This window comes from Homo sapiens, chromosome 1 (genome assembly GCF_000001405.40).
Source record: "Homo sapiens chromosome 1, GRCh38.p14 Primary Assembly".
Lineage (NCBI taxonomy): Eukaryota > Metazoa > Chordata > Mammalia > Primates > Hominidae > Homo > Homo sapiens.
The window spans coordinates 39,737,489-39,764,435 of NC_000001.11; the positions used below are offsets into that span (position 1 = coordinate 39,737,489).

Consider the following 26,947-nt stretch of genomic DNA (forward strand, 5'->3'; position numbering starts at 1 on the left):
TCCCATTATTTCCTACCACTATGTCAACCTGTAATTTATATATTAGTGGGTTTAGTCCAAGATGTTACTCTAAACTGCACCATTTTGTAAGCTCCCTGCTATTCTGCAGACCTTGGTCAAAGTGAAACATTTCACAGGGGTTTGGGCTGTGAGAAACATCCTGCCTAACCACCCGACCACAAGGCAGACAAAGGCCCAACTAAAGAAACATCCCTCTCATATCTTCCTGGGCAAAGGTCCAAGGGACACCATGATGACATCCCACTGGAACAAGGGCCAAACCGCCTCATCATGAGAACATCTTTATATCAATATCCTGCTAGGCAGCAACCCATACTGCCCAGACCCCTACCGCCCATACCTATAAATTGCCCAGTCTGTAAGCAGTGGTGGGCACTGGCATTAGGCTGGTTCCCCACTTCTGTAGGTTATTATGCTGGACATAAAGCCTGCGTTTGCTGTCGAGCCGCCCTCTTTCTGTGTGTGTGTGTGTGTGTGTGTGTGTCTTTCTTTAACCCTTGCCTTCTTTTCAAAACCTAACACGAGTAGACAAACGTTCTTTCTGAAGAGCCAGATTGTAAATATTATTGTAGGCTTTGCAGGCTATAGCTCTTCTGCCCTTGTAGTAGGAAAGCAGCCACAGTCATACTTAAAGGAATGAGCGTGGCTGTGTCCCCATAAAGCTTTCTTTACGGACACTGAAATTTTAATTTCACATAATTTTCATGTGCTAAGAAAATATACATATATATTTTGTGAGATGGTGTGTCGCTCTCGTCACCCTGGCTGGAGTGCAACGGCGCGATCTCTGCTCACTGCAACCTCCGCTACCTGGGTTCAAGCGATTCTCCAGCCTCAGCCTCCTGAGTAGCTGCGATTACAGGCGCCCGCTACCACGCCTGGCTAATTTTTGCATTTTTAGTAGAGACGGGGTTTCACCATGTTGGCCAGGCTGCTCTCGAACTCCTGACCTCAGGTGATCCGCCCGCCTCAGCCTCCCAAAGTGCTGGGGCTACAGGCATGAGCCACCACGCCCGGCCAAGAAAATATAGTTTTTTTATTTTTTCCAACTATTTCAAAAGGTAAAATTCATTCTTAGCTCCCAGGTTGTCCAAAAACAGACGCGCAGGATGGCCAAGCACCAGAGTTTATCGTTTGCCCATAATAATCGGGTTGATTCGGCCAAGGTTTCCCTCCCCCAACACGGTGCGCACTGGGAAGCGCGAGGACCACGTCCCTTGGTTTACCACTGCGCACCTCACAAGGCGCCCAGTGCATCCGGGTAGCGGGATGCCGGTTGGACCAACGCGAGGGTGGGCGGGGTCTAAGAGCTAAGCGTTGGGGGCGGGGCGGGACAGTGGGGAAGAGGACGGGTCGAGTGCTGGCTTCCGGCGGAAAAGCGCGCGAGCAAGATGGCCACCACCAAGCGCGTCTTGTACGTGGGTGAGCAGGAGGGGTTGCTAGGCGGAGTCTGAGTGAACGCGACCCCCAAGGGTCGGGGCGTGGGGTGGGACGCATCTCTGAACCAGGAGGACGGCGAGCTGCTGTCAAGGCCGGGTCTCTGGCGGTAGTGCTGGCGATAGCTCTGGCTGTGCTTAAACTCCTTCCAAGGTTTCCCACTGTCCTCAGGAAAAAGTGCAGACTTCTTAGCAGTACGCACTTCTCCAGCTTCTTTGCTTTGCTTCCCGATTCGCTGGGTCTCCCGAAAAATGACCCACTTGCCCCCAAGGTTCAGGTTATTTCACACCTTTGGGCCTCTGCTTTTGCGACTCCCTTGCAGTGAACAGCCTTGCCACACACCTCAGGTGCGTGAACCCGAGACGGAATGATTATTCTGACTTCCTAGCCCGCTGAGCTCCAGCGGGCCCCGAGGAGCGGTAAAGGAGTATTATGGCCCTTCGGATCCTCTCGTTCATTTGTTTTACAAACATTCAGTGCAGCGACGGCTCAGCCCCAGCCCCTGCCATAAAGGAAGGAGTTCCCAGACTAGCCAGAAAAAAAGTGGAATTACCTCAGTAGCACACTTTTGATAAGCGCTGTAGTGAGGATGGATCATGATAATATGGGCCTGGCTGCGGGACAAATGACCCATCCATCTGGAGAAGCGAGGGCAAATTCTGGATGCGGCGATGCCAGAGCTGATGAGCAGGAGTTAGCTACGTAACCGAAGCAGAGGCAAGGCCGTTCACTGCAAGGGAGTCGCAAAGGTGTGAAATAGCCTGACACTTGGGGGCAAGTGGGTCATTATTCGGGAGACCCAGGAAATTAGGAAGCAAAGCAAAAAAGCTGGAGAGGTGGGTACTGCTAAGGAGTTTGCACTTTATCCTGAGGACAGTGGGAAGCCTTTGAAGGAGTGTAAGCGAAAAGTTACGGGTTCAAATTTGCATTTTCCTAAGATCATTCTAGTTGGCTTTGTGGAGTTGATGGAATGGAGGCAGGGAGGTCAGTTGTGAAGCTATTGCAGTAATCCCAGGACTAGATGAGAGTCTGAAAGAAGGGCGAAGAGAGGAATATTTTTCATAAGTATGGGTGGGCAGAGATGAGAGGGGGATGTTTGTTTACCCAAAGAACTGAATGGAAGGGTCCTGTCCCCTGGCTAGCATGCTAACTGGGCTGCAAGGACTTCTGCAAGAGTATGGAGATCAGTGGCTCAGAAGGCCCTTGGCTTATTTGCAGGTGGACTGGCAGAGGAAGTGGACGACAAAGTTCTTCATGCTGCGTTCATTCCTTTTGGAGACATCACAGATATTCAGATTCCTCTGGATTATGAAACAGGTGAGTTAGTGTCTCTCACGTTCAGAATCCTCTTACTAGGAAAATACCTTAAAAAATTAAAGTCACATCACAATTCTAAATATGCATTCTAAATATGGTTAGTATACACTACAGGTAAGTTCAGGAAGGTGTCTGGTGACAGTGATCTCGATGGAGAAGGAATGTTCTGAGGCCATGTGGTTGTGAACTCTGAATACTTTCCAGAGTCTTCAGCTGTTGGGTTGAGATAAGACAGATTTTTCAATAGACCAGTAGGGAGATAGGTTTGAACTACATTGAGATTTGAATGTTGTTTTAATCTACCTGATGGGTACCCCATCCCACCTGCACCTTCTTGCAGCTGTGCTATTAAATGAGGCAGCGGGAAAGCCTAGCCCCATAATGGGGGTGGGTGAGGGCGGGGGTTCTTGGCCTCTGCACCCCTGGGTGGGTTTCCCATCGATTGGTATCACAACCACAGTTCAGTTTTCTGTTTACCTTTGTTGTCATTTTTAAGATTATAGTTTTAGGCCTAGTTTTATCATCAACCTTGCATATGATTGTTAGCAAAGTCTTTAAACTCTCTGGGCCTGGGAAATCTTTATTTGCAAAATGATAAGGTTATGTTGGCTTTCTAAGGGCCTTCTAGTCTCTGAGTTCTATGATAAACATTATTGTGCTTGGTCTTTCTAGTTAGTTCAGCATTTTCCTGAAGATAAAGACTGAGCATCTTTATCAGGTTTTAGGATTCATGCTTTATGCACAGTTGATGCGCAAAATATATATTTAGATAGATAATTGATAGGTCAAATGACTTTATTTTTCTAATTGCTTTGCATGCAATGGTTAAGGTTTTAAGTTTGGCTTTCGTAGAATAATTGAATACTTATCAATTAAAAATACAGTTTACTATTCAGCTATGTCCATTAAAAAAACAAAGTTTATTATTGCTTAAAATATTGTATAAGAAGAATCAAGAATGAGATTCCTTCTTCCTAAATAGTGATTGGATAGAACTTCTGGTGTTTGGATACGACATGTAACTGACTTCACTTTGTGACCATCCTGTTTCTTCCCACTACCCCACATAGTAATTACTTGTTTTTGTTTTTCCATTTTGTAGAAAAGCACCGAGGATTTGCTTTTGTTGAATTTGAGTTGGCAGAGGTGAGAGTCTGTGTTACTAGTGTCTAGTCCTTGGTTTGTGATGTTGTTACTGATTACAAAGGAAGCTTTTCACCATTTGGTTAGGTTTTTGGGCCTTAGGCTGATGCTTCCAGAGAGATCAGAAGTAAGTGCTGTTCTAAGGAAAGCGTCTCTCACATAATCAGACTGGACTGTGAATAACATGTCAGACCTGCCAGGCCCTCCCATTCTTGCCCTGCAGAGGAGCTAGCTCATGCACCCCTGTTCATTGAGCATTCTTGCCTGGAAGTAGTGATTATTTCTTGTGCCTTCAACTAGATGGCAAATTGTTGCACCACCAGCTCTAAAATCAGCCAGGAAGTGCTCTTTGTTAGAAACACACAAAACCTAGGCAAGAAATACAGAGGTGGCATTTTTCTGGATTTTTGCTACTGAGCATGTGTTTAGACACCATAAGAAGCATTTGGCTGCAAGCCTAAACTTGTACCTTTGTCTTTCCTTGGCAGGATGCTGCAGCAGCTATCGACAACATGGTATGGCTGGGAATCTTAATTCTAACTAAAGTTGCTTTTTGGTGGTACAGAGGCTCCTTATTCATATATCAGTGTTCTGGACTTCCAAAGTTACAAGGTTGCATGGGGAGGTAAAAATTCTCACATGAAAATATTCACTGTGAATTGATCACTTATAAAATTAGTTCTTACTCAGACTCCTTCGCCATTTCAGAATAATGTAAGTCCTCATCATCCTTGTTGACCAGTCTCTCACTGGCTCTCCCATGTTTAGGATAATTTGCAGACACAGTGCAAATTGATTGCACGGTGTAACTGCATATTTTGCAAAATAGCAGGATTTCATGAAGTGTTAGACCAATTTACAATTGAGAAGAGAAATTTAATTATGGCAGGTGCAAATCACTGATACAAATGATTTGGATATTCTGGAAAGGTCCTTGGGAAAAATGATGATGCTCTTTAGTATTTGTGCCTTCCTTGAGATCCTTTTAGTTTTCATGTCTGATAAGAAGTGCAAAGATACCATACTGTTGATAGAATTTTGTTGGAAAAATAATACTTCAGTGCCTGTTACTTTTCTTTCTTTCTTTTTTTTTTTTTTTTTTTTTTTAACAATCTTGAACTCATGAGTTCAAGACTTCTCAGCTTCTCAAGTAGCTGGAATTACAGGCTCAAGCCAACAGGGCTACCTGGGCTACCTGTTACATTTCTTTCTACCAAGTTACATTTCTTTCTACCGATTAGTGCATAGTTAGTCCTGAATATTAATGGTAAGAAACTTGTTTTTATTATTTTTAGTTTCATCACAGTAATTTCCCAGTCAGCCTTTTAAAATTTTTCAATTTTACCACGAAATCTTCATCACCACTTCAAGTGGAGTCACCTTAAATGACCTTTCCTGGTACCGATTATCTTTGGATAATGAGATGTTGTTTTATTTGTTGTTCTGTTATCCATTCACCAAACATATTCATCAGCTGTCAGAGATCATTTTTCTTTCATTTCAAAGCTTATCTTGACTTTTGAAGGTGAACTCAAATACTGGGAAACTGCATTTATTTTTGTAATTTTGGAGTGTTCTGAACCCAGAGTTACTTTTGGTAATACAGGTCTTTGTGTGCTGCTATGAAAGAAAGGGGTGTGAGTTCCCTGAAACCCACAGGTGGCTTTGGGGTGGCTGCATAGCTTACTGGTAGAGGCCCAGGGATTAAGGGAGGACAAATCATGAGTGTGTCTCAGAAGTATATGGAAAGCTGGCTGGCCCTCTTTTAACCTAAGAGAGTTTAAGCAGCTGGATTTTCAATCTTTTCAGAATGAATCTGAGCTTTTTGGACGTACAATTCGTGTCAATTTGGCCAAACCAATGAGAATTAAGGAAGGCTCTTCCAGGCCAGGTGAGTAGGAGCAACTTCCAGATTCCCTGTGATGTTCTGCAGTTTGGCCTTAGTTGCATTTTTTGTCTCTATTTACTTGGAAGTAGATGCTAAATGCTGCTTCCTGGTAGATAGGAGTAGATGATGGTTCACATTGGGAAGGGCATGCACCACCTTTTTAGAGAAACAAGTGAGTTTGAGCTTCTCAGCAAAGCCAAAGTGATTGTTTCTGTTATGAGAGAAATTCCTGCCTGAGCTCATCTTTCCCAGTTTTCTTGATATTCCATTCCTGGGGTCTCCATCAAGGGCTGAAATCAGCAAAGGCTACACCTTTGCTTTCGGCATAGCTATTTTCCTTAGCCCTACTGAGAGCTGGACTTCAGGGCCTACATTCTGGATGGGAACTTTCCTTACCCCTGGGAGTTCTCAGTGGGGAATTGTCTGGCATACAGGCCACATAGCATCTTCCACTTTGCTGACCAAAGCAGCTACTTTTCAGTTCAAGCTGACAGCTTGAATGAACATTTGTTTGATTCTTTCCTTTCAGTTTGGTCAGATGATGACTGGTTGAAGAAGTTTTCTGGGAAGACGCTTGAAGAGAATAAAGAGGAAGAAGGGTCAGAGCCTCCCAAAGCAGAGACCCAGGAGGTGAGAATGAAGCTCCTGCTTCCAGAGCACAGGCCGGCGCTGTCCACAGGAGACTTTTTTTTTTAAGTTTTAATGGAAATTTGCCAATATGTATATCAAAGTGGAGGGAATGAATAATGAATTCTTAGTACTTTGGTAAAGTCAATATTGAGTTCTTAGTACTTTGGTAAAGTCAATATCGAGTGAATTCAAGGGCGAAACTTTGGGTCTCTTGTCCATGTTGTGTTCTATGTGATGAGTGTCTCAGCTCTGCTCAGGTATGGATTTGTGATTATCAACTGACAGGGAGGAAGCTGAGGTGCCCCTCTTCACCCCTCCTGATCAGTCCCCCTCCTTCACTGAAGAGTTTGCCACAAGGGTCGTGGTCTTCCTATTCCTGTGCTAATGGAGGGGAGACAGAATAGGGTAGTGTCCCTTCCTTCAACCTGTACATGGGTTCAGGGTTCTCCAGTCCTACGGGAACCTGCTGGGGCACTTCCCCCTGATTCTCAGCATAGTCTCTGACAGTTGCTTCCTGGGCGTCCCCTCCTCTGAGTACTTTGTGAATGTTGTCATTCTTCTGTATTTCTTTCTTGGCTCATGGTTTCTCTCTCTTCTCTCAGCTGAAACAGTAGCAGTCTATCTCTAGTTTTATGCAGCCTCTGTTATGCTGTTGATCTTCATGGTCTCTTTCTAGTCCTGAGCTTCAGATATTTCTGCCTGCAAGTCTCATGGGCAGCTTAAGTTTGCCTAAAATGGATTCTCCCGCTTCTCTAATCCTGTCTTCCTGTGTTCTCAATCTTGGCTAATTTGCCACCATTCATCCACACATTGACCCACGCCAGAAATTTGAATGCAAATCAGAACTCATAAAGTGGCCATCACAGTCAGTGGAGTCCCCCTGGATCATCCTGTATCCTCTGCTTAGTCTTACCTACTTGGAGCACAATGCAAGGCCCAACATCTTCCACTGTCTTCTGAGCACTTAGGCCTGAGCAAGAGGGCTGCCCCCTTGCTTCCATGTAGTTAGCCAGTGTATATGCAGGGCCAGGCACAGAGGGACGAGGTGGTACATGGATGGGTCTGCCTAACTAGAGGACAGTGGGTGGGCTGGAACTGGCATTTGAAGATACTGAGAGTTGTGGATCATGGACCAGAAAAGTGCTGTTCTGTGACTGTGAAGCAAGAGGAGGAAGCAGATGCATCTGAGGGCAAGCATGATGAGATAACACCCCCGTGTGTGAGGCTCAGGTTAGCCAGTGCTGAGACCTCCTGTCGCTGGGCATCCAGCTGGGTGCTACGGCCATGGCTCCTGCCTCCTGCAGCCCTATCAGGGCCCAAGGCCTTCCCCGTCAGCACTTGCTCCAGCCTACGCACTGGAGTTGTGTTCTGGGTGGGTGTGTAGAATACTCGCACTCCTACTTAGGGCGTCAGGGAGCTCTCTCTAACTAGCAATTTCTTCTGCACCTAGGGAGAGCCCATTGCTAAAAAGGCCCGCTCAAATCCTCAGGTGTACATGGACATCAAGATTGGGAACAAGCCGGCTGGCCGCATCCAGATGCTCCTGCGTTCTGATGTCGTGCCCATGACAGCAGGTGAGCAGGACGCTGTGGTCAGAACGGCGGGACGCTGGTGGCTGAGCAGTGAGCCTTTCCCAGGTTCTTACTGCTTCACTTCTTGTGTCCTTGATATTGCTTCTGACCTAAGTTGATTTGAGGCATCTCAGATCCTGGGATCTAGTAACAGATAAGTCAGAGCAGGTGTTTTTGAAGCTTTATAAGTGCTGGCTTACTGTTTTTTAATCGTTTTTTAAAAATACAAGTAAATAATGTATTCTTTTTTTTAAAGAATAGCATATACATATATTCCAATAATATTTAAGACAATAAATTGAAAATTCATTTTCCCCTCTCTACATCCAGTCCTCAATTCTAGAAGTAACTAGTGCTTTTATTGAGTATTCTTTGTAATTTATTAAATATTGACTTCTATTCTCTTTTTAATCTAAATTTTATTATCTAGACATATAAAGAGTCAATTCAGTTTCACAAAGCTTGTTTTGAAAAAACAGTCGTCCCCTGGTGCTGTCCCTGTGCCCTGCTGCCAACACCATTTGCTGCTCCTCAGAGGAGCGGATTTCAACTCTTAGGTGTTTTGGTTTTTATTTCCATGTTGATAACAGTTTTATATTTCTACTTCCTGTTTTCCATTTTAAACATTATCTTCTGATTTTCTACTTCAGAGAACAAAGAATTAGTTTTTTAAAATCCCCTTCCCTGCCCCCTCATCTTCCCTGTATAGGTACCATAATTTTGGTTAGGTCCTAAGTTATTTTAACAATGTAAGCATCATGTGATAACCTCCTTTCATGCACAGCATTTTGTTTTGCCTGGAATTGATAATTGCCTTGTTTTTGCATAGTTTTCTGTGTAATCATTCCTGATTTTCTCCCAGACCATCCTGCTGGGGGTTTTGCATCCAGGTGTCTGCATCTTGTTAAGGGGAGATGAGGGCAAGGCTGAATTCCTCAACATTCAGTATATAAACTTTCACATAATCTCCATTTGTCATTATGGTACCTCAGCCCTCACTATGCGTAGGATGTCCTAGTCCAGAGACCCTCTGCTTTAACCTACCAAAGACTAGACCCCCAGCTGGCTACCAGGTTGGGGAGGGGTGGCCCCCAGCTGCAGAGTCAGGGAAAGGATCCCAAAGATTAACCACTTTCTTAAATGGGCTTTCAGCCAAACTTACTGTCTCCAGGATTACCTGCACCCTTTCCTCTGAGCTTTTGGAGTGCAAATTGAGTTGCTTCTTGGCTTTTACCAGCTTAAGATTCAGCTTTCTCGGGTCTGCTATATCATTTAGGACTCATCTATTTTGTTTTCTAACTTCAGAAATTTTGTTGCTGTTGTCTCTTCCTCCCTGCTTTTTAAGTTTATTTTTTGGCTATTTTAGCCACTTTAAAGTGTTTGTTAGCAGTAATTACTCTGTTCGAAATTTTTGAATCATCCTAAACAAAACCACTTATTAAAGGTACCTATTAAATAATAACTCCCCATTTTCTCCTCCCCTTAGCTTCTGATAACCTCTAATCTTTGTGTCTATGAATTGGCCTATCCTAGATTTTTCATGTAAGTGGAATCATACAATAGCTGTCCTTTTCCACGCCTTGTTGATTTTGCATAGCATAATGCTTTCAAGGTTCATCCTTGTACCATGTATCAGTGCCTCATTCCTTTTTGTGGCTGAATAATATTCCGTTGTATTTGGATAAATATCTTGTTCATTCATTTGTTGATGGGCACTTGCACATTGTTTTCACCTTTTGACTATTGTAAATGCCTGTGTGAATATCCACATGTAAGTATATGTTTAAATTCCTGTTTTCAATTCTTTTGGATATATATGCCTAGGAATGGAAATGCTTAGTCATATGGTAACTCTGTATTTAACTTTTTGAGGAAATGCCAAACTATTTTCCACAGTGGCTGGACCATTTTACATTTCTACCAGCAATGTATGAGTGTTTCAGTTTTTCCACATCTTCTCTTTTTTTTTTTTTTTTTTTTTTTTTGAGACAGAGTCTCGCACTGTTGCCCGGGCTGGAGTACAGTGGCGTGATATTGGCTCACTGCAACCTCCGCCTCCCAGGTTCAAGTGATTCTTGTGCCTCAGCCTCCCGAGTAGCTGGGATTACAGGCGTCTGCCACCATGCCCAGCCAATTTTTTGTATTTTTAGTAGAGACGAGGTTTCACCATGTTGGTTGGCCAGGCTGGTCTCAAACTCCTGACCTCATGATTCGCCTGCCTCGGCCTCCCATAGTGCTGGGATTACAGGCGTGAGCCACCATGCCTGGCCCACATCTTCTCTTAACAGGTGTGACATGGCATCTCATTGTGGTTTTTATTTTTATTCCCTACTGACTAATGATGTTGAACATCTTTTCATGTGCTTGTTGACCATTTGTATATCTTCTTTGGAGAAACATCTTTTCAAATCTTTGGCTTATTTATTAACTGGATTGTTTGTTTTGTTTTTTTTAAGAGACAGGGTCTTGCTCTGACTCCCAGGCTGGAGTGCAGTGGTGAGAACATGGCTTACTGTAGCTTTGAACCCTTGACCTCCAGTGATCCTCCTGCCTTGACCTCCCAAAGCACTGGGATTACACCGTGCCTGGCCATTTTGTTGTTGAATTATAGGAGTTCATTATATATTCTGGATATTAAACCCATGTTAAATATGATTTGCAAATAAGCATTCTCCTGTTCTGTGGGTTGCTTTGCCCTCTATTGGTACGGTTCTTTGATGCACGTCTTAAATTTTGATAAAATCTAATTATTTTTTTCTTTCACCTCTGCTTTTGGTGTGACATTTAAGAAACCATCACCAAATCCAGAGTCATGAAGATTTGCCCCTATGTTTTCTTCTAAGATCCTTTGGTTTTTCTTTTAAAAAATCAGTTTCCTACCAATTTAGTGTGGTTTTAAAAGGGAACAGAGCTCGAACATGTATATTCAATCCCCCTTCAACAGAATCTCCTATAGTCCTGGCCAGGTGTGGTGGTTTACACCTGTAATCCCAGCACTTTGGGAGGCCAAGGTGGGCGGATCATCTGAGGTAGGAGTTCTAGACCAGCTTGGCCAACATAGTGAAACCCCATCTCTACTAAAAATACAAAATTAGCCAGGTGTATGGTACATGCCTGTAGTCCCAGCTACTCAAGAGGCTGAGGCAGGGGAATGACTTGAACCCAAGAGGTGGAAGTTGCAGTGAACTGAGATTGTGCCATTGCACTGCAGCATGGGCAACAAGAGTGAAACTCCGTCTCAAGGAAAAAGAATCCCTTATAGTCCTTACAAGGTTAGTATCACAAAGGTTTATAATGAGTATCTCTTATTTTAAAACAAAAATATGAACACTAAACCAAAGTTTTTTCGAGGTTTTTTATTTTGTCCTATTTTTTAACCCCAGCGCTTTTTCCTTTCTCAATTCCAGAGAATTTCCGCTGCCTGTGCACTCATGAAAAGGGCTTTGGCTTTAAGGGAAGCAGCTTCCACCGCATCATCCCCCAGTTCATGTGCCAGGGCGGTGATTTCACAAACCACAATGGCACTGGGGGCAAGTCCATCTATGGGAAGAAGTTCGATGATGAAAACTTTATCCTCAAGCATACGGGACCAGGTAGGAGCCAGTTGGCATGTGGTGACGAGGGAGGCTGGGCAAGGGTGGGATGGCCAGGCAGGATGGAAGGACAGGTTGTAGTTCTGGCTGGCGGACACTAAGAGTCTGGAGGAGACCCAGCCACCAGACATAGGAGAACCATGCAGCCTTGCTAGGGTGGAGTTGGCTTGTTGACATTCAGGTACTGTTCATCCCCCAACCGTGTCCACAATTCCTATTAGCCCCGCTTGGATTCTGTGGTCTGCTGTTGCAGGCTCTTATGCTCTCAACCCCACTGCTCTCCCTGCCCTCACCATCAGATTTACTCAGTAAAATCTCGGTGGTTAGTCCCCCAGCAACTAGAGAAAAAACACAGAATTGTACTGAACAATCCCACTTGAAATTTATAACTATAGTTCTTAAGGGGACCCTTGCCAACCTGACCAGATTTCCCTACTTGATGCTCAGTCCCAACCGGAGATGATGTGTCCATGCCCGTCTTCACTTCTGAAGCCCTCATATCATCACCTTCCCACCTCATCTAATGCTTCACCTCCTGCATCTCTCCACTCGTGCATGCTCTTTCTTCCAATTACAGGGGATGAGCTGTCTCTCCTAGGCCAGCCTCTCCACCTGTGGACTGGATCCTGTCCCTCTCCTCTACTTAGGAACATGGCTTCTAAAGTTGTCCCCTTCTTGTAATCCATTTCCCCTGCTCTGCTAGATCAGTCCATTAGCATGAAAGCATGCAGTTATCAACCTTTAAAAAAAATCTTCATCCGGTTGCCGGGTGCAGTGGCTTAGTCCTGTAATCCCAGCATTTTGGGAGGCAGAGGCAGGCGGATCACCTGAGGTCAGGAGTTGGAGGCCAGCCTAACTAACATGGAGAAACCCCATCTCTACTAAAAATATAAAATTAGCCGGGCGTGGTGGCGCGTGCCTGTAATCCTAGCTGCTCGGAAGGCTGAGGCAGGAGAATCACTTGAACCTGGGAGGCGGAGGTTGTGATGAGCCAAGATCGCACCATTGCACTCCAGCCTGGGCAACAAGAGCGAAACTCCGTCTCGGAAAAAAAAAAACAAACTTCATCCTTGTACTCTTGTTCCCTCTCCAGCTATCACCCATGCCCCTGGTCCCCCATCTTTTTTCAAGAAGTAAAAGCATAACTTCTTGAAAACATGGTACAGACTTGCTGCCTTCGCGTTTTCTCTAATCCCTTCTAGGCAGACTTCTAGTCCCATCTCGCCATTGAAACCACTCTTGCCAAAAATACGAGTAGCCAGTTCTTGGCGATCATCTTATCCCACCTCCCAGATGTTATCCCACCTCCCAGGAGCATTTCATACTACAGGTTGAGTGTCCCTTTCCTGAAATGCTTGGGACCAGAAGTATTTTGTATTTTGGAATATTTGCATTATACTTACCAGTTGAGCATCCCAAATCTGAATATCTCAAATCTGAAATGCTCGAGTGAGCAGTTCCTTTGAGTATCATATCAGTGCTCGTGAAGTTTCAGATTTTGGGGCATTTTGGATTTTGGATTTTCACATTTGGGATGCTCAGCCTGTACTAACTCTGTTCTCCTTGACTCCTTCTTCACTTGGCTGGCAGGACTCCTGCCTCTTCTTGTCTCCTTTTACCTAGATGGCTGCTTTTTCTGTCTTTGCTGTCTCCTTCTTTTCCTGACCCTTAAACACTGAAGTGGCTCAGAGCCCATTCTTTGGTTCTCCAGAAGCCTGTTACCCTGTGCTCCGTTTTTCTAACTGGTGGTTTGTAGGGCCCCTCTTTACTATACTGAACTGACATGTGTAGGTGATATAGCCCACTGACCCACATCGTTATTTTAAAAATCAGTATTCATCTGTAACTATAATAGGGAAGAACATCAGAGGAAATAAACGAATTTGTATAATACTCGAATATGTTTCCAGATGTACATGCTTAAGCACAGCTGTGTCAGAACACAAAGTGAATTATTCAGGCGTCTGCCCCTGTACTCAAACGCAGCAGTTAGAAATGCAGACGGGAGTGTCAACTGGATACCACTAGGAGTGATGCTATTGGTGATACGGCTTTGTGAAATGGTAGATAAAGTTGATTAGAGTCCAAAGTAAAGAATAATCTGTTTATTTACATAGTAGTTACATTCCTAGAAGATTCCATGGAAAATCAAAAGCACTCCAAAACTTTGGGCTTATATGTATAATGGAATTATGTTTTAGGTGCAGATAACTGTAAACACATTTTTTACCTATACCAATATCTGGCAGGATATTTGTTGTTTTGTTGTTGTTTGGTTTTTGTTTTTTTGAGACAGGGTCTCTTTCTGTTGCTCAGGCTGGAGTGCAGTGGTGCAAGACGGCTCACTGCAGCCTCAACCTCTCCAGCTCAAGCAGTCCTGCCTCAGCCTCCCAAATAGCTGGGATTATAGGTGCACGCCATCCATAATGCCAGGCTAATTTTTAAGTTTTTTGTAGAGACAGGGTTTCATTATATTGCTCAGGCTAGTCTGGAACTCTTAGCTTCAAGTGATCCTCCCACTTCAGCCTCCCAGAGTGCTGGGATTACAAGCATTAGCCACTGCGCCCAGCCTCTAGCAGGATGTTTGTAAGGGCCAAGAGGATATGAGACAATTCATTGTGCCAGACATTGCAGAACATCTAGCATTCCAGGCCCCCACCTGCTAAATGCCAGTAGCACCCCCACAATATTTCAGACAGTCAAAAACACTTTCAGGCCAGGCACGGCGGCTCATGCCTGTAATCCCAACACTTTGGGAGTCTGAAGTGGCAGCCCAAAGCCAGAGGATCACGTGAGTTCAGGAGTTCGAGACCAGCCTGGGCAACATAGTGAGACCCTATATCTACTGAAAAAAGAATAAAAAAATTATCCAGGTGTGGTGGTGCACGCCTGTAGTCTCAGCCGCTTGGGAGTTGAGGTGAGAGGATTGCTTGTGCCCCAGAGATTGAGGCTACAGTGAGCTGTGATGCACTCCTGTACTCAGCCTGGGTGACAGAGTGATCCCCATCTCAAAAAAAGTAAATTCAGATTTCCAAAGGTTTCCTAGGGACAGGACACCAACCCCACTGAGAAGCAGTGCCCTAAGCAGTCACACCCGGTCCCAGGGCTTTCAGCGGTATCTCTGAGTTAAGTTTGTGCAGACTGGCATCTGCATGCTGATGGCTCCCTGAGCTCCAGACTCCTGTCCAACTGCCTGCCTGTTGTCTTCACTGGATATCCCACGAGCATCTCACACTTTACATGTCTAAAACAGCTCTTGGCCTTCTCCCCTAAACTCTTCCTCCTCCTCTTCCCTGTTTCAATAAATGACTCCACCATCCACTTAGCCGCTTGATCAGAAACTTAGGAGTCATTGTGGACACACACACACATACATACATGTACACATACACACACAGACACACACATATACATGTACATTCTCTTACGTGACAAATGTCCATGTTACCAGGCCTCACTGTGTCATAGCTGTCATTTTGAATGGCTCTTTTCCACTGATTGTGAGCTCCACCAGAGCTTGGACTATGTTCTGCTCATCAGTGTTCCCAGGGCTTAACAGGGACCTGGTTGTCAAGTAGACACTTAATTGTTAAATAAATGAATTAATGAAAGAACAGACCAGTATAAAGTGATTGAAACACCTCACTTACCATTTCACTGACTATTAACTGAATCCAAGATAAGGTGGCCGCATTTGCATGTGATCTGTGCATCCCCGAGTCTGAGCCTGACTGGCTGAAGGGCTGTCAACAGCCTGCACAGACGTCCTTTAAGGGCTGGTAGCCAGGGTTCGGGGAGCTGATGGTTGTTCTCTCCCTCAGGTCTACTATCCATGGCCAACTCTGGCCCAAACACCAATGGCTCTCAGTTCTTCCTGACATGTGACAAGACAGACTGGCTGGATGGCAAGCATGTGGTGTTTGGAGAGGTCACCGAAGGCCTAGATGTCTTGCGGCAAATTGAGGTATGTGGCCAGGAATGGGCCTCCTCCTTACCCAGGCCCTAGGAGCACAGCCCTGTGTGAGGGCTGGAGAGTCTCTGTGGCCTGAGAGAGATGGCCAGGGGCTGTGTCCAGCGGGAGGGGCTGCTGCTGCCCAGGTTCCGGGGTGGAAGTGGGCAAATGGGCAGGCAGGGGTTGGTATCCCTAAACCACTGTTAGTCTCCGGCCTTACTCCCTCACTTCTATTCTGCCACAAAGGCCCAGGGCAGCAAGGACGGGAAGCCAAAGCAGAAGGTGATCATCGCCGACTGTGGGGAGTACGTGTGAGGCGGCACTCTCTCTGCTTCCCCCTCCGCTCTTGACCCTGCATATCCAGGAAGGAACTGCCAGCCTCAGAGGAGGCAGCACCGAGGGTGCCTGTTTGAAGCAAGCAGCATTTGGGATATGTGCCCTTCCTCAGGGTCTGCTTGGAGCAGCTCCTCTGCAGGCACAGCCTGGACTATTCCCAGGCACAGCTGTGGGCCCAGGAGCCAGCTCAGGTGCTCCCCTCCACCATGGGCAGGCTGTGCAAAAAGCCACTGGCTTTTCTCAGCATTTGCTGCTGGGCCTCTCCTGGGACTACCAGTGTGGCTCTTACGTGTTTTCTTTGCTAAAATAAACCCTAGTTCTTATATTGCTCTTCCTGCTAGTTCTTGGGAGTTGTCAGAGATTGTGTCTGTGGCTAAGCTGGACCTCTGAGGCAGGCTGGTGAGTGGGGAGAGCAGAGCATCTTTTTCACAGCTTTCATTTCCTCCCTTGGGCCGATCCCCTTAGATGTCAGGTGATGTATCTTCACACCAGGCATCGATGTCAGGGCAACGGAAATTAAAGACTGGAAAGCTCCGGTCTTCTGCTGCCTCTGCTCCTAAACCCAGCTGCCGGCCTTACAGCCAGCAAGTGTACTCTCAGTGGTTCATTTGTTTATTTGTTCACTTTCACCCTACAGATTTTAAAAAATGAAATTTTTATAACTCAAAGTGCCTTCTCTGTGCCAAGTACTATGCCTATTTGTCAGGAGACAGGAAGCCAACAAACTACATGTGCCTAATCCAGCCCACTGCCTGTTTTTATGAATCAGGTTTTATTGGAACACAGCCACGTCCATTTATTTACATATTGTCCATGGTGGTTTCTTACTGCAGTGGCAGAGGTGCGTAAGGGGCTATAGACACAATACAGGCTATGGTCCCTGTATTAGGGTTTTCTAGAGAAGCAGAACCAATAGGGTGTGTATATATGTAGAAAGAGATTTATTTTAAGGAACTGGCTCAAGCAGTGGTAGGAGCTGGCAAGTCTGCAATCTGCACAACAGACCAGCAGGCTGGAGACTCAGGAAAAAAACTGATGTTGCAGTTCAGCTCTGAGGCAGTTTGGAAGCAGAATTCTTCCTCCAGTGATCTCAGTCTTTTTTCTCTTAAGAATTTCAACTGATTGGATGAGGCCTACCCACATTATGGAGGGTAATCTGCTTTACTCTCTACTGACTTAAATATTAATCCATCTAAAAAATAGGCCAGGCATGGTGGCTCATGCCTATAATTCCACCACTATTGGGAGGCTGAGGCAGGAGGATCACTTGAGCCCAGGAGTTCAAGACCAGCCTGGGCAATGTAGAGACCCCCATCTCTAGGGGGAGAAAAAAAAGCCAGGTATGGTAGTGCACACCTATAGTCCCAGCTACTCAGAAGGCTGAGGTGGGAGGATCGCTTGAACCTGGGAGGTTGAGGCTGCAGTCAGCCATGGTCATGCCACTGTACTCCAGCCTGGGTGACAAGAGGGAGACCCTGTCTTGAAAAAAAGAAACCATCATCACAGCAACATCTAGACTAGTGTTTGACTAAAAACTGGATACCATGGCCTAGCCAAATTGACACACAAAATAGACCATCACAGTCCCAAGGCCTAAAATACTTACTATCTGAGCCTTTACAAAACAGGATTGCCAGCCACTGAAGAGAACAAATGGTCCCACCCCCTGCTGAGCTCACAGTCTGGCTCTCCTGTGTGCAGCCACTTCTTGGAGCTGGCTTCTCTCCACTCCCCCTCCAGATGCTGGTCAGCCAGGCGGTTATAAAGAATCTCATCTGCTGAAGGCTTTTAGCAGGGACTGAGTCCTGTAGCTGTTGGACACCTCCTGTGGGTTGGGTCACTCAGACCATTCAGAATCCACTGAGCTGAGCTTTTGCATCTTGGATTGAGATCTGGATGAGCCAGGAGGCAGGAGAGGCTAGGTGGTCCTCATGACCCTAGGATAGCTCTTGCTGAGGGATGGTGGCATTCTGCCCTACCTCTGGCTCCCATGTGCCGACTGGACTTTGTGAGCTCCAGCTGCTACAGTTGACTGAGTTCAGGCTCCATGTAGCTGGGATATACTACATGGTTACCCCTCACCCCTATGGAGCTTCCAAAAGAGACCCTCCCTCAAAGCACAGCCCCTTCTCTGAGTGCAAATAATGGCCATCAGAGGTCAGTCACAGGTGTTAGGCAGGCATCTATGAAGCTGGGGATGATAGCACTGACTTCAGTGCTTGGACGAGAACCAGGAGAGAGTGTGTAGAAAAAGCACAGCCAGCCTCCCATAAAAGGACAGACTCCTGTGACAACCTTGTCACTCTGTTCCTCCCTGATACTCTGGGGAGGTGGAGGCCAGTGGGCAGTTCTGAAAGCTCAGCAGGTTTGGAGCCATTGGGTGTGGACTCCTCTCCCAGTGTTCCTCCTGGGTGTTCACAGATGTTATTGAATGCACACTGGAACCCTGCACAGGTAAACTGAGGCTTTATTGGCGTGACTGCCAAAGGTCACACAGGGTGGTTTGGCAGAGCTGGGATTAGAAGCCCAGCCTGTCTCTCTTCAGTAGTAATGGAGTCCTGGGAGGTTTACTAGGCTTTAGCCTCAATCTGTGGCGGCAGGGTCCACAGCCCTGGGGAGTGACACAGTCATGGTCCCCATGATTGGCCAGGACCTGTGTGGAGAGACACAGGAGACAAGACCCTGCTCTTCCAGGCCAGAAGGGAGGGGAGCCCCAGAGCTGGGCAGTGGCATGCCCCACAGCCTGGCCACCTGCTTCGGCTACGCACCATGCAGCAGCTGCACCTGGCTGCCTCGGGAAAACTCTGACCTCTCTGGGAAGTGGAGCCAGTGGCTCTGTGGGCGTCCTTTCCTGCAGCCTGGAGAGCAAAGCGGCTTTCCCTGGGACTGTGTGGCTCCTGTCCCAACTGGCCTCCCCATTCCACATTCCCATTGCTGGACCAGCACCAGGACTGGGCACAGGGCTTCCTTTTGCTGATTCATTTCCCCCCTAACTCATTCAGAGTTGAGCCCCATCTGAGTCCCCACATGCTGGCCCTGAAACGGTTACAAAGGCTGAAACCAGGGATGGCAGGCCCAGGATCAGTGCTGTGGCTGTTGGAGTGTCCTCTCCAACAGCATGACAGCCGCCTCCAGGTGCTCCCAGCATCTGTTGCAGTCATGGCAGCCTCACGGCAACCTCTGAAGAAGGAATTATAGAACCAACTTTTTATTGTTGAAAATGGAGTCTTGTAGAGTTCAGTGATGGGAAACTAAAGTAGAAAAAGCACATCACAAAGAAACATATATAGTACAGTGTGATCCCAATTTTGTAAAAATATCTGTAATATGTAAGCATAGGTATTTGTATATCTTAAGAAAAAAAGCCTAGAAATAAAGCCACAAAAATATTAATAGTGTGTTTATTTGACTTGTGGGACTGTAGTGATTTGAATTGTATTTTATTTTTTATATATCCCACTTTCCTCCAAAACTGCATTATTTTTTTGAGAAGTGAAAGACATTTTTGAAAAAGGGGGTCAAGTGCCCATCCAGGGTTCCTTTCAAAAAGGGGGCCAAGCAGTTGACCTGGATGGGCAGTTCCCCCATGCAAATTGCCACCCAAGACACCTGGTGGGTACAGACCTCTCTCAGCAGGACATGGGATCCCATTGTCTGGGAACACAGCAAAGTTTCACAGCCGCTGCCACAAGTGACACTTGCTAGGCCTTTAAAGGCTATAAGAATACAAGTCCCGCCCTCTGAGGGATGCCATGTGTAGATGGTTTAGGAAAGAGCACAGCTCTGAAATAAATACATCATCACCTGCAGAACACATTTTGGTTTAATGGACAGACATAGAAGTGGCTCAAAAATAAGCAAATTCATTTGTAATAATACCAGCAAATACCTATTGTTAAGCATTTATATGTCAGACATCCCAAAGATTTGTGTACATATTTAGTCTTTATAATAGCTTTGGGAGGAAAGAACCAATATCATACTCTACAAAGGAAGAAGCAGAACCAGGATTCAAATCTATTTGGCACCAAAAATCTGCCTCTTGCTACACTGCCTCTATTCCTGTTTCTTTGGACCTTTTCCAGAACATGTTACTTCCCTGCCTCAGTTAGAAGTTAGTGACTACGAATCCCCTGCTGACTTGGCCTCAAGGCCAGTATTGCACCGCAAGGACCAAGACTGCTGGGCATTCCTCTTTTGCCTGTTGTATGCGTCCTCTCTTCCTGTCAACTGTCATTGATTTCTCATTGCTGTCAGTAGATCTGAAACAACCACCACCATCATCCTTCCAACCCTCATCTGGTGCAACGAGATAAACAGGCCATGCCCTGAGCAAAGAAAAGGGAAATGGTGGTATCTGTGCTGCCAGCCTGGGCCACCCACTGCAGATGCACATGCTTGGCTCAGCAAACGGATAAGGATTAAATTCATGGACTTTGTGTTCATTCACAATTGTTTCATTGCTCAAGGGATTTTTCTATTTTATTTCATTTGGTGACTATCTGGATGATAAAAGTTGCTGAAAGTCTGATGGCCAACTAGGTAGACAAAGCCTTATGTTTTTCCATTGTTCTGTATGAACCAGGAGGATCACGGCTCGTATTGGTTCCTGCTATGCACAGCTTGATTAATGGGTAAGGTGTACTCCATATCTACAAACCTTCAGGTAGTTTACAGACATTCTTGGTGCACCCCTAACTATGCCAGATCATTGGCTGGGCACTAAAGATACAGGTGGAGTAAAAAATTAATTGTCAAAATAACTGGCTAATTTAAAATTTACAATTGCCTAGAAGACCATCTTTGATGTTAAGAAGGAACAATTAAGTAAATACTAGGATGGCAAACAGGTTCCATAATTTCATTTTGTTGAGACAACAGTTTTGCTCATGTCACCAGGCTGAAGTGCAATGTTGTGATCTCTGCTCACTGCAACCTCCACCTCCCAGGTTCAAGCAATTCTGCCTCAGCCTCCTGAGTAGCTGGGATTATAGGCATGCACCACCATGCCCAGGTAATCTTGTATTTTTAGTACAGATGGGGTTTCACTGTGTTGGCCAGGATGGTCTTGAACTCCTGACTTCAGGTGATCTGCCTGCCTTGGCCTCCCAAAGTGCTGGGGTTATAGGTGTGAGCCACCATGCCTGGCCAGGTTCCATGTTATGTGCCAACTCTGCTTCGTGACAGCCACCAGAGCCCCACATTCAGGGTTATGAGGCTGCTTCTGGCTCACTATGAGGAGTTGGTAGACAGATTCTTTGGCTGAAGGTTGTTTGGAGATCAAAAAGTGCAGATAGAAAATGGAGGCGCAGATAAGGAAGCCACCTACAAGGCAGGTCTCTTCACCTCCAGGCCAGAGCTGAGATCCCTGTGCTGATAGGGAATTCTCCAACTTCCAGACAGCCTGGGGCTGCCCTTTGCGTACATGGGAGGGTCTCTTCCTCTGCGCTTGCACATGGAGGCCCTCCCTGGTCCAGGTGGAGGGGCTGCTGTCCCGCAGTGTGGCCCCAGCCTCCACCCCTGCTGCTGGACCAGCTTTCCCCAGGCCCCTCCCTGGGGGTGCAGCACGTGAACTCCAGAGAGGCGCATCCTTGGGCCCATGGGGAGGTGGAACCACTCTGCCGGGCTGTGCCTGTGGATGGGGCGGGCGCAGGATCTGCTTTTAATGACACGGTTTGGGCAGCTGGACTCTGTCTATTCCAGCAGGTAAATTACAGGCTTAGCAAGTCAGAAATCAAATAAACACTCCAACTCCCAGTGGCTGCTCCAAGGAGAACAGCAGTTTCCGAGAACAGCAGAGGCTGAGACAAACCTCTCCACCCAACTCAGCCTAATTACTACTTGTCACTCCCTGAAAAGGACCTTTTCTTTGACTCACAGGCCCAAGACACAGGACAGGGCTGCTGGGCATCCAGGGTGACACTGACTTTGGTGATCAGCCTGTTTTTGATGGCCCCTGGCCTCGCCCCAGACCCGGTCACAGGCTGCCCATGTTGCCGATACATGCTCGGGCAGGGATGGACTGCTCCTCAGCATGGCAGAAGATGGCAACCAGGTTTCACTTTACATCATATCTGTTGGCAGTGGCTGTGCTGATCATTTGAAAATTCCACTCAGATTTGGAAGAAAAACATTCCAGATTGATTACTGATGTCTGCCATTCAGAGGGGAAAGGGAAATGATGGCATCTGTGCTGTGCATTGTCATCCTGGGCCACCCAATGCAACCACATGCTTGCTCAGCAAAGGGAAAACTCCACAGAGCTGAGCTCCTGGTGGGGCAACATGGTGGCAGATAGATGGGTCAATTGGAAGCCCCAAGATTTTTCTGTTTCTCCAAAGTAAAATGTCCATGCTCTTACATGTCTTTCCTAGATGGCAGAGGCAAATGCAAAGCAGGAAGACAAGGGAAGATAAATGCCATTGGCTTTAGCCCTAAATCATGCTGTTCACTCAGCTTTTTCTTGAGTTGACTCCACATGTCTACCTGTGACCAGTGGATCAGTGCTTCAGATCCATGAATATACAATACTTCAGGGGTTATCCAGTTTTATACCCCACCTTGCACCTCGGGCAGGCAATGGGGAGCCAACCAGACCCTGACTACACACACCACACCCTGTGATGGATGGTGAAGAGCTCAAGGTGGCCAACAGTGGGCTCCAGGTGCCTCTCAGGTCATTCCACATCTATCTCACGACCTGAGCCAGTAAGGGGCATGGATAGGACCTCAGACAGGACTTCTGTGCCAACCCCAAAGAACCAGCCAGGACATGCCTCCGGGAGAGGCGTTTGCATTTGGGTAGAACACTGCCTGATGATTGAGACCACCTGGGCTGGAAACAGGACAGTCACACAAATGCCTGGCAGGGCAAGGGGAGCATAGGAGCCTGGCATGAAGGAGAAAGGGTCATGTACGTGGTTGTGAGGGTCCTCCCTGGCAATGCCCCGGCCTGGGGTCTGGCTGGGTTTGAGGGTTTCCTGCTTCTGAGGGGCCCGATCCAGATGAGAAGGGTGGCTGCAGCTGGGCCGGGCGGGTGGACTCAGTGGCAGCCGCAGGCCTTGACCACCATGTTGCGGTGCTTGCGCAGGATGACATTGTTGCTGCTGTCATAGTAGAGCACAGAGGTGGCGCTCAGCTTGGTGGGTGCACAGCACGCCTTGGGGACTGCGTCTGGCATCATCAGGTGCACCTGGCCAGGAAGAGGGCACAGGCAGGGGCATGAGCCCAGTGGCCTCCTCCAAGGACCCACCCAGCCCCACCCCAGCTCCACCTGCTCCCTGCCCTGGCCATCTCCAGGCCACATGGGAGCAGCACAATAATAATAACTATTAACAGGAATAAGAGCAGTCCTCAAGGCTCCAGGAGTGGGAGCTGTAGTAACACGCAGTGCCCAGGGAGGGACACATGGCAGGGGGTGTGCAGCAGGTGGGCAAGGCGCTAATGAGGGGCCTGGAGTCCCAGGCCAAGGGCTCAGACTTCCTCCTGGGGATAATGGGAAGGAGAACTGTGTGGCCAGGTTTGTGCCCTTAGTGAGGTCCCCAAGGGGGAGCCTGGAAGGACCACTTTCTTCTTTTGGCCCTTCGGACCCCCAGAGGCTCTGCCTCCCACACCCTGGCCTCCCTCCCCAGTCTCTGGGAGGCCAGGCCTCCGCCCCTCTCCTGTGCTGCTCCTTCCCCCAGAGGACTGCATCCGCCCTCAGCACTTCAAGGCCCTGCACGTGCCCGCACCTCTCCACTCCCCAGGCTCAGCTTGGACCTCTCTTCTGAACTCCAGACTTGTGGATCCTGCTCCCCTCGCCACTTCTGCACTTGGGGTCTAATGGGGCCTCAGCGGAACATGGAGTTCCTCCCGCCCTGACATCATAGCCCCCGCCTGGGAGGCCTCCTGGATGACTCCTCTTGCCTCCTCCCTTCCCTGGGAGCAGCCCCTGGCTCAACCTCCACCTCCATGCTGCCTTGGACCACCTGCCCCGTCCAGCTGCCATCACCTGTCAGGTGACCACAGCAGCCTTCACTCATCCCCTGCTCCTCCACCTTCCACCACCACCCCCACCCCCAATCCCAGCCTCCCCCAGCAGCCAGAGAGAGGTCCTTCTGGAGGGTGACATGGACCAGAACACTGCTTTGCTAAAGAGCTCCGACAGCCTCTTGGGTTACTTGGAATAAAACACCTTCATTCAGACCCCCAGGCCCTAGGGGAGCCGGCCCTGCCCACCCTGGTGTCACCTCCCTCCGCCCTCCTCCCACTCACTGCACCCAGCCCCTTCTCCCTGCTGGCCCTGAACCTGCCAAGCTCACTGCTGTCTTAGGGCCTTGGAATTGCTCCTTCTGCTGGAACATTCCTCCTCCAGCTGCTGACTGGCCCCCTCCTTCTGTGGAGAGGCCAGGCCCAGTCTCTCCCCACTGATGGAGCAGCCACTCTGCTCTTCCTCACAGGAGGCGTCACCTCCACGGTTGTTTTGCTTTGGACAAACCAACAAACCGACAGCCTCCCCTAGAGCGCAGCGCCTGTCTGTTTGCTGCCCAGCAGGTTACGAGTGCTCACTTTAGTTGAGCCCCTGAGGGGCAGGGGCAAGGGCAGAGGAGATGGAGTCTGGGAGCTGCAGATGCAGTCACCTTCCCGCGTGCCTCCCACACATGCAGCCATGAGAACCACACGGCATAAAGGGTGGCTGGGCTGGGCCGCCCCACGCGTCCTCATCATCCCTGGGCCTTTCCAAGGAGGTGGCTCCAGGTGTCCAGCAAACACCATTTGACTGCCCAGAAAGGAAGCATTATCATAGGCTCAGAGCAGCTTTTGGTAATTTATTTCCTCTCACACCAAGGCATAGTGTGCGCACGTGTGTGTGTGTGTGTTTTAATTTTTATTTTAGAGACAGGGTTTTGCTGTGTTGCCCAGGCTTGTCTTGAACTTCTGGGCTCGTGTGCTGCGATTACAGGGTGAGCCACCGCACCTGATCAAGGCATCACCGTTGAACCTCCTAAGGGGAAAACATAAGGCTGTGCAATACCAGGAACTGGGATTCTAGGTAAAAAGTTCTAGAAGGAAGCCTCGGTGCCAGAATCCACAAACACACAGAGCACTCAACAGTGAGCAGCACCAGTGATCCCATCAGAAACCTGCTTTTGTCCTTTAAGGTTGCCCCAGATACCAAGGCATCAAAAGCCAGGGGATCCAGAAAAAACAAAGATGGCCAAGAGAGAAACTGGGGGAAAAGCCAAAAGGTTGAGAGCCACACCATCTAGAAGCTTCCTGCCTGCGGTGCGGCACAGGTGGGTGAGTGCACACGCACACCCCACACACTGTGCACACATATCACGGGCGGTCAGACTTGCCAGCGTACTCGGCGGCCCGTGTGCTAAGATCACACAGCCCCCACACAGTGTACACATCTGTTTCATGTGCTGTGCCTCTGAGCGCTGCACACAGGTGCGTAAGTGTCCCACAGGAGTTTGTTCGGTGCATAGAACAGGCATGTGTACACGACTGTTCACGTATGTCCGTGTTTGGGTGCGAGTCTACGTGTAGTGTGGCTGTATAAGGACCAGTTCCTGCAGAGCTGTGGGAAGTTAGCGACGTTACTGACTGTGCAGACAAAGCCCCCTGAGACGCGGAGCAGGTGGCCTCACTGCCCTCCCAGCCAGCTGGACCAGACCCCTCTCCACAGGGCCCCCCACCCCAGGGGGCTGGGCAGGATGGGCATGGTACTGACCAGGGACTGCAGGATGGCGTGGTTGGTGGCATTCATGCAGGAGTCCAGTGGGAAGGAGCACTCCCCCTCACAGTAATAGGCCGAGTAGCCTTGGGGAGCGATGACCCAGTCCTGGGGGGCAAGGGAGAAGGTGAGTCCCATCCATGTGCCCCTCCCTGAGCCTCAGGGCCCAAACCCATCCTCCAGCCCTGCAGGGCCGTCTCCCCCAAGAGGCTTGAATCCACCCAGGAACCCCCGGCAGAAAAGGCTGGGCAGGAGCTCAGGCCCAACATCCCCCATATCTTCACTTTGCGTCCCCTCCCCAGCCGGCCCTCCCCTGCCCACGCCTCCCAGAGCTGCAGTCGTAGCCAATGCAGGGAGGTCTCAGTTACCCTGCAGCAATGCTGACAGCTTAGTTGGTTGATTCAGTCTTCATTTTCATGGTTTTAAAAAAAACAAAAAACTGAACAAAAAAAAAACCCTTTCTCACCATATTCTCACTTTAGAAAACTTGGAAAACACAGAAGAAAAAAATACATAAGAAAATTGAAGTCACCATGATTCTATGTCCTCCCTGCAGATTCACTTCTGATCTACAGGTGGTGATTGTCATTTCAGAAACAAGAAGAGTCAGCAATTACCAGCCAGCCGAGGTCCTGGAAGCTGACGTAGAGCTCGTGCCGACGGCAGACCTGCCGGCCGTGGGAGCCGTGGACGTCATCTGCAGGGACAGAAGGGGCAAGGTCTTTTCTGGGGTTCCTACTGTGTGCAGCTACTATGGGGTACCAGGGTGGGGGATGCCCTGATGAGCACATTTGTCAAATAAATGAATGACAGGAAACCATTTGGTCTCATAAAGCCCATCCCTGGAACTCTGCTTGTACCATGACCCAGCTCAGAAGCCTGCCATGGCTCCCAATGGCTAGAGTGACACTGTGCCCAGTCCTCCCCTGTCCTTCAGCCTATGAGCATCTTTATGCTCCAGTAAACAGCCCAGCAGGACCCTCGGCCATCCTGTGCCTCCTCCTCTCTGGAGACCCCTGTGACTCCAGCCCACCCTCTCCTGCCACACCCATTCCCGAGGTTCAAGTGGCTCACGACCAGGCCAGTCAAGGGCCGACTCCCTGGGAAGGAGGGCACGGGGTTGGGTCAGGCCTGTCCCTGATCCTGAAGGGCTTGGCCCAGTTGGGGAGAAAACTCGCATAAGCAACCGAGGATCCCACAGGGTGCCCAGGCACAACCGCAGGTCATGAGGGGCTGCGGCTCCCAGGGAAGGGGCAGCTGATTCTGAAGGAGGCTCCTGAGAAAGACCCGGAGGAGCCAGGGGGAGAGAGGGAGACTTCTGGGCAGCAGGGACAGCCAGGA

General features: G+C 48.2%; 2 protein-coding genes across 18 annotated transcripts in view, besides 1 other annotated feature; one reads left to right on the forward strand and one right to left on the reverse strand.

Moving 5' to 3' along the window:
• PPIE (peptidylprolyl isomerase E) lies at window positions 1,394–26,426 on the forward strand. Of its 13 annotated transcripts, none has more exons than XM_047430138.1 (11): window positions 1,394–1,805; window positions 2,677–2,775; window positions 3,878–3,921; window positions 4,407–4,433; window positions 5,728–5,809; window positions 6,336–6,436; window positions 7,887–8,010; window positions 11,415–11,600; window positions 15,422–15,564; window positions 25,029–25,167; window positions 26,201–26,426. In XM_047430138.1, exons 4-10 carry the CDS (start codon window positions 4,431–4,433, stop codon window positions 25,134–25,136), a joined length of 747 nt encoding a protein of 248 aa, XP_047286094.1. In that variant the 5' UTR covers window positions 1,394–1,805; window positions 2,677–2,775; window positions 3,878–3,921; window positions 4,407–4,430; the 3' UTR covers window positions 25,137–25,167; window positions 26,201–26,426. The 13 variants fall into 13 exon arrangements, 11 of the variants coding, with proteins under 11 accessions (XP_047286094.1, XP_016855540.1, XP_047286017.1 ...); XM_017000051.3 differs by having other exon boundaries at window positions 1,394–1,443; XM_047430061.1 differs by having other exon boundaries at window positions 1,394–1,443; window positions 25,029–25,163; window positions 26,163–26,426.
• Window positions 1,442–1,651: an enhancer, noted in NCBI's record as "active region_816". NCBI's record gives its function as "activates an Ori minimal core promoter by ATAC-STARR-seq in GM12878 lymphoblastoid cells {active_cell/tissue: GM12878}" and the evidence as "EXISTENCE:reporter gene assay evidence [ECO:0000049][PMID:35858748]".
• The window catches only part of BMP8B (bone morphogenetic protein 8b), a 31,684-nt gene continuing 24,430 nt past the window's right edge, over window positions 19,694–26,947 (reverse strand). For 3 of the 5 annotated variants that reach the window (XM_011542022.3, XM_017002155.2, XM_024449299.2), the window contains 3 exons: window positions 26,224–26,303; window positions 25,604–25,714; window positions 24,681–24,871 (listed from right to left, as the gene is read on the reverse strand). In XM_011542022.3, the coding sequence (XP_011540324.1) occupies window positions 24,857–24,871; window positions 25,604–25,714; window positions 26,224–26,303 (206 nt within the window). In that variant the 3' untranslated portion in view covers window positions 24,681–24,856. Of the gene's footprint in view, window positions 23,081–24,680; window positions 24,872–25,603; window positions 25,715–26,223; window positions 26,304–26,947 lie in introns of those variants that run through there. The other 2 variants (NM_001720.5, XM_011542024.3) reach the window with 1 other exon arrangement.

Bases quoted from the DNA above. Each gene is read 5' to 3' on its own strand.
- PPIE (XM_017000051.3), top strand. From the start codon at position 1,413: ATGGCCACCACCAAGCGCGTCTTGTACGTGG. The intron at 3,922-4,406 runs GTGAGAGTCTGT...TTTCCTTGGCAG, and splicing joins TTGAATTTGAGTTGGCAGAG to GATGCTGCAGCAGCTATCGA. The intron at 11,601-15,421 runs GTAGGAGCCAGT...TCTCTCCCTCAG, and splicing joins CCTCAAGCATACGGGACCAG to GTCTACTATCCATGGCCAAC.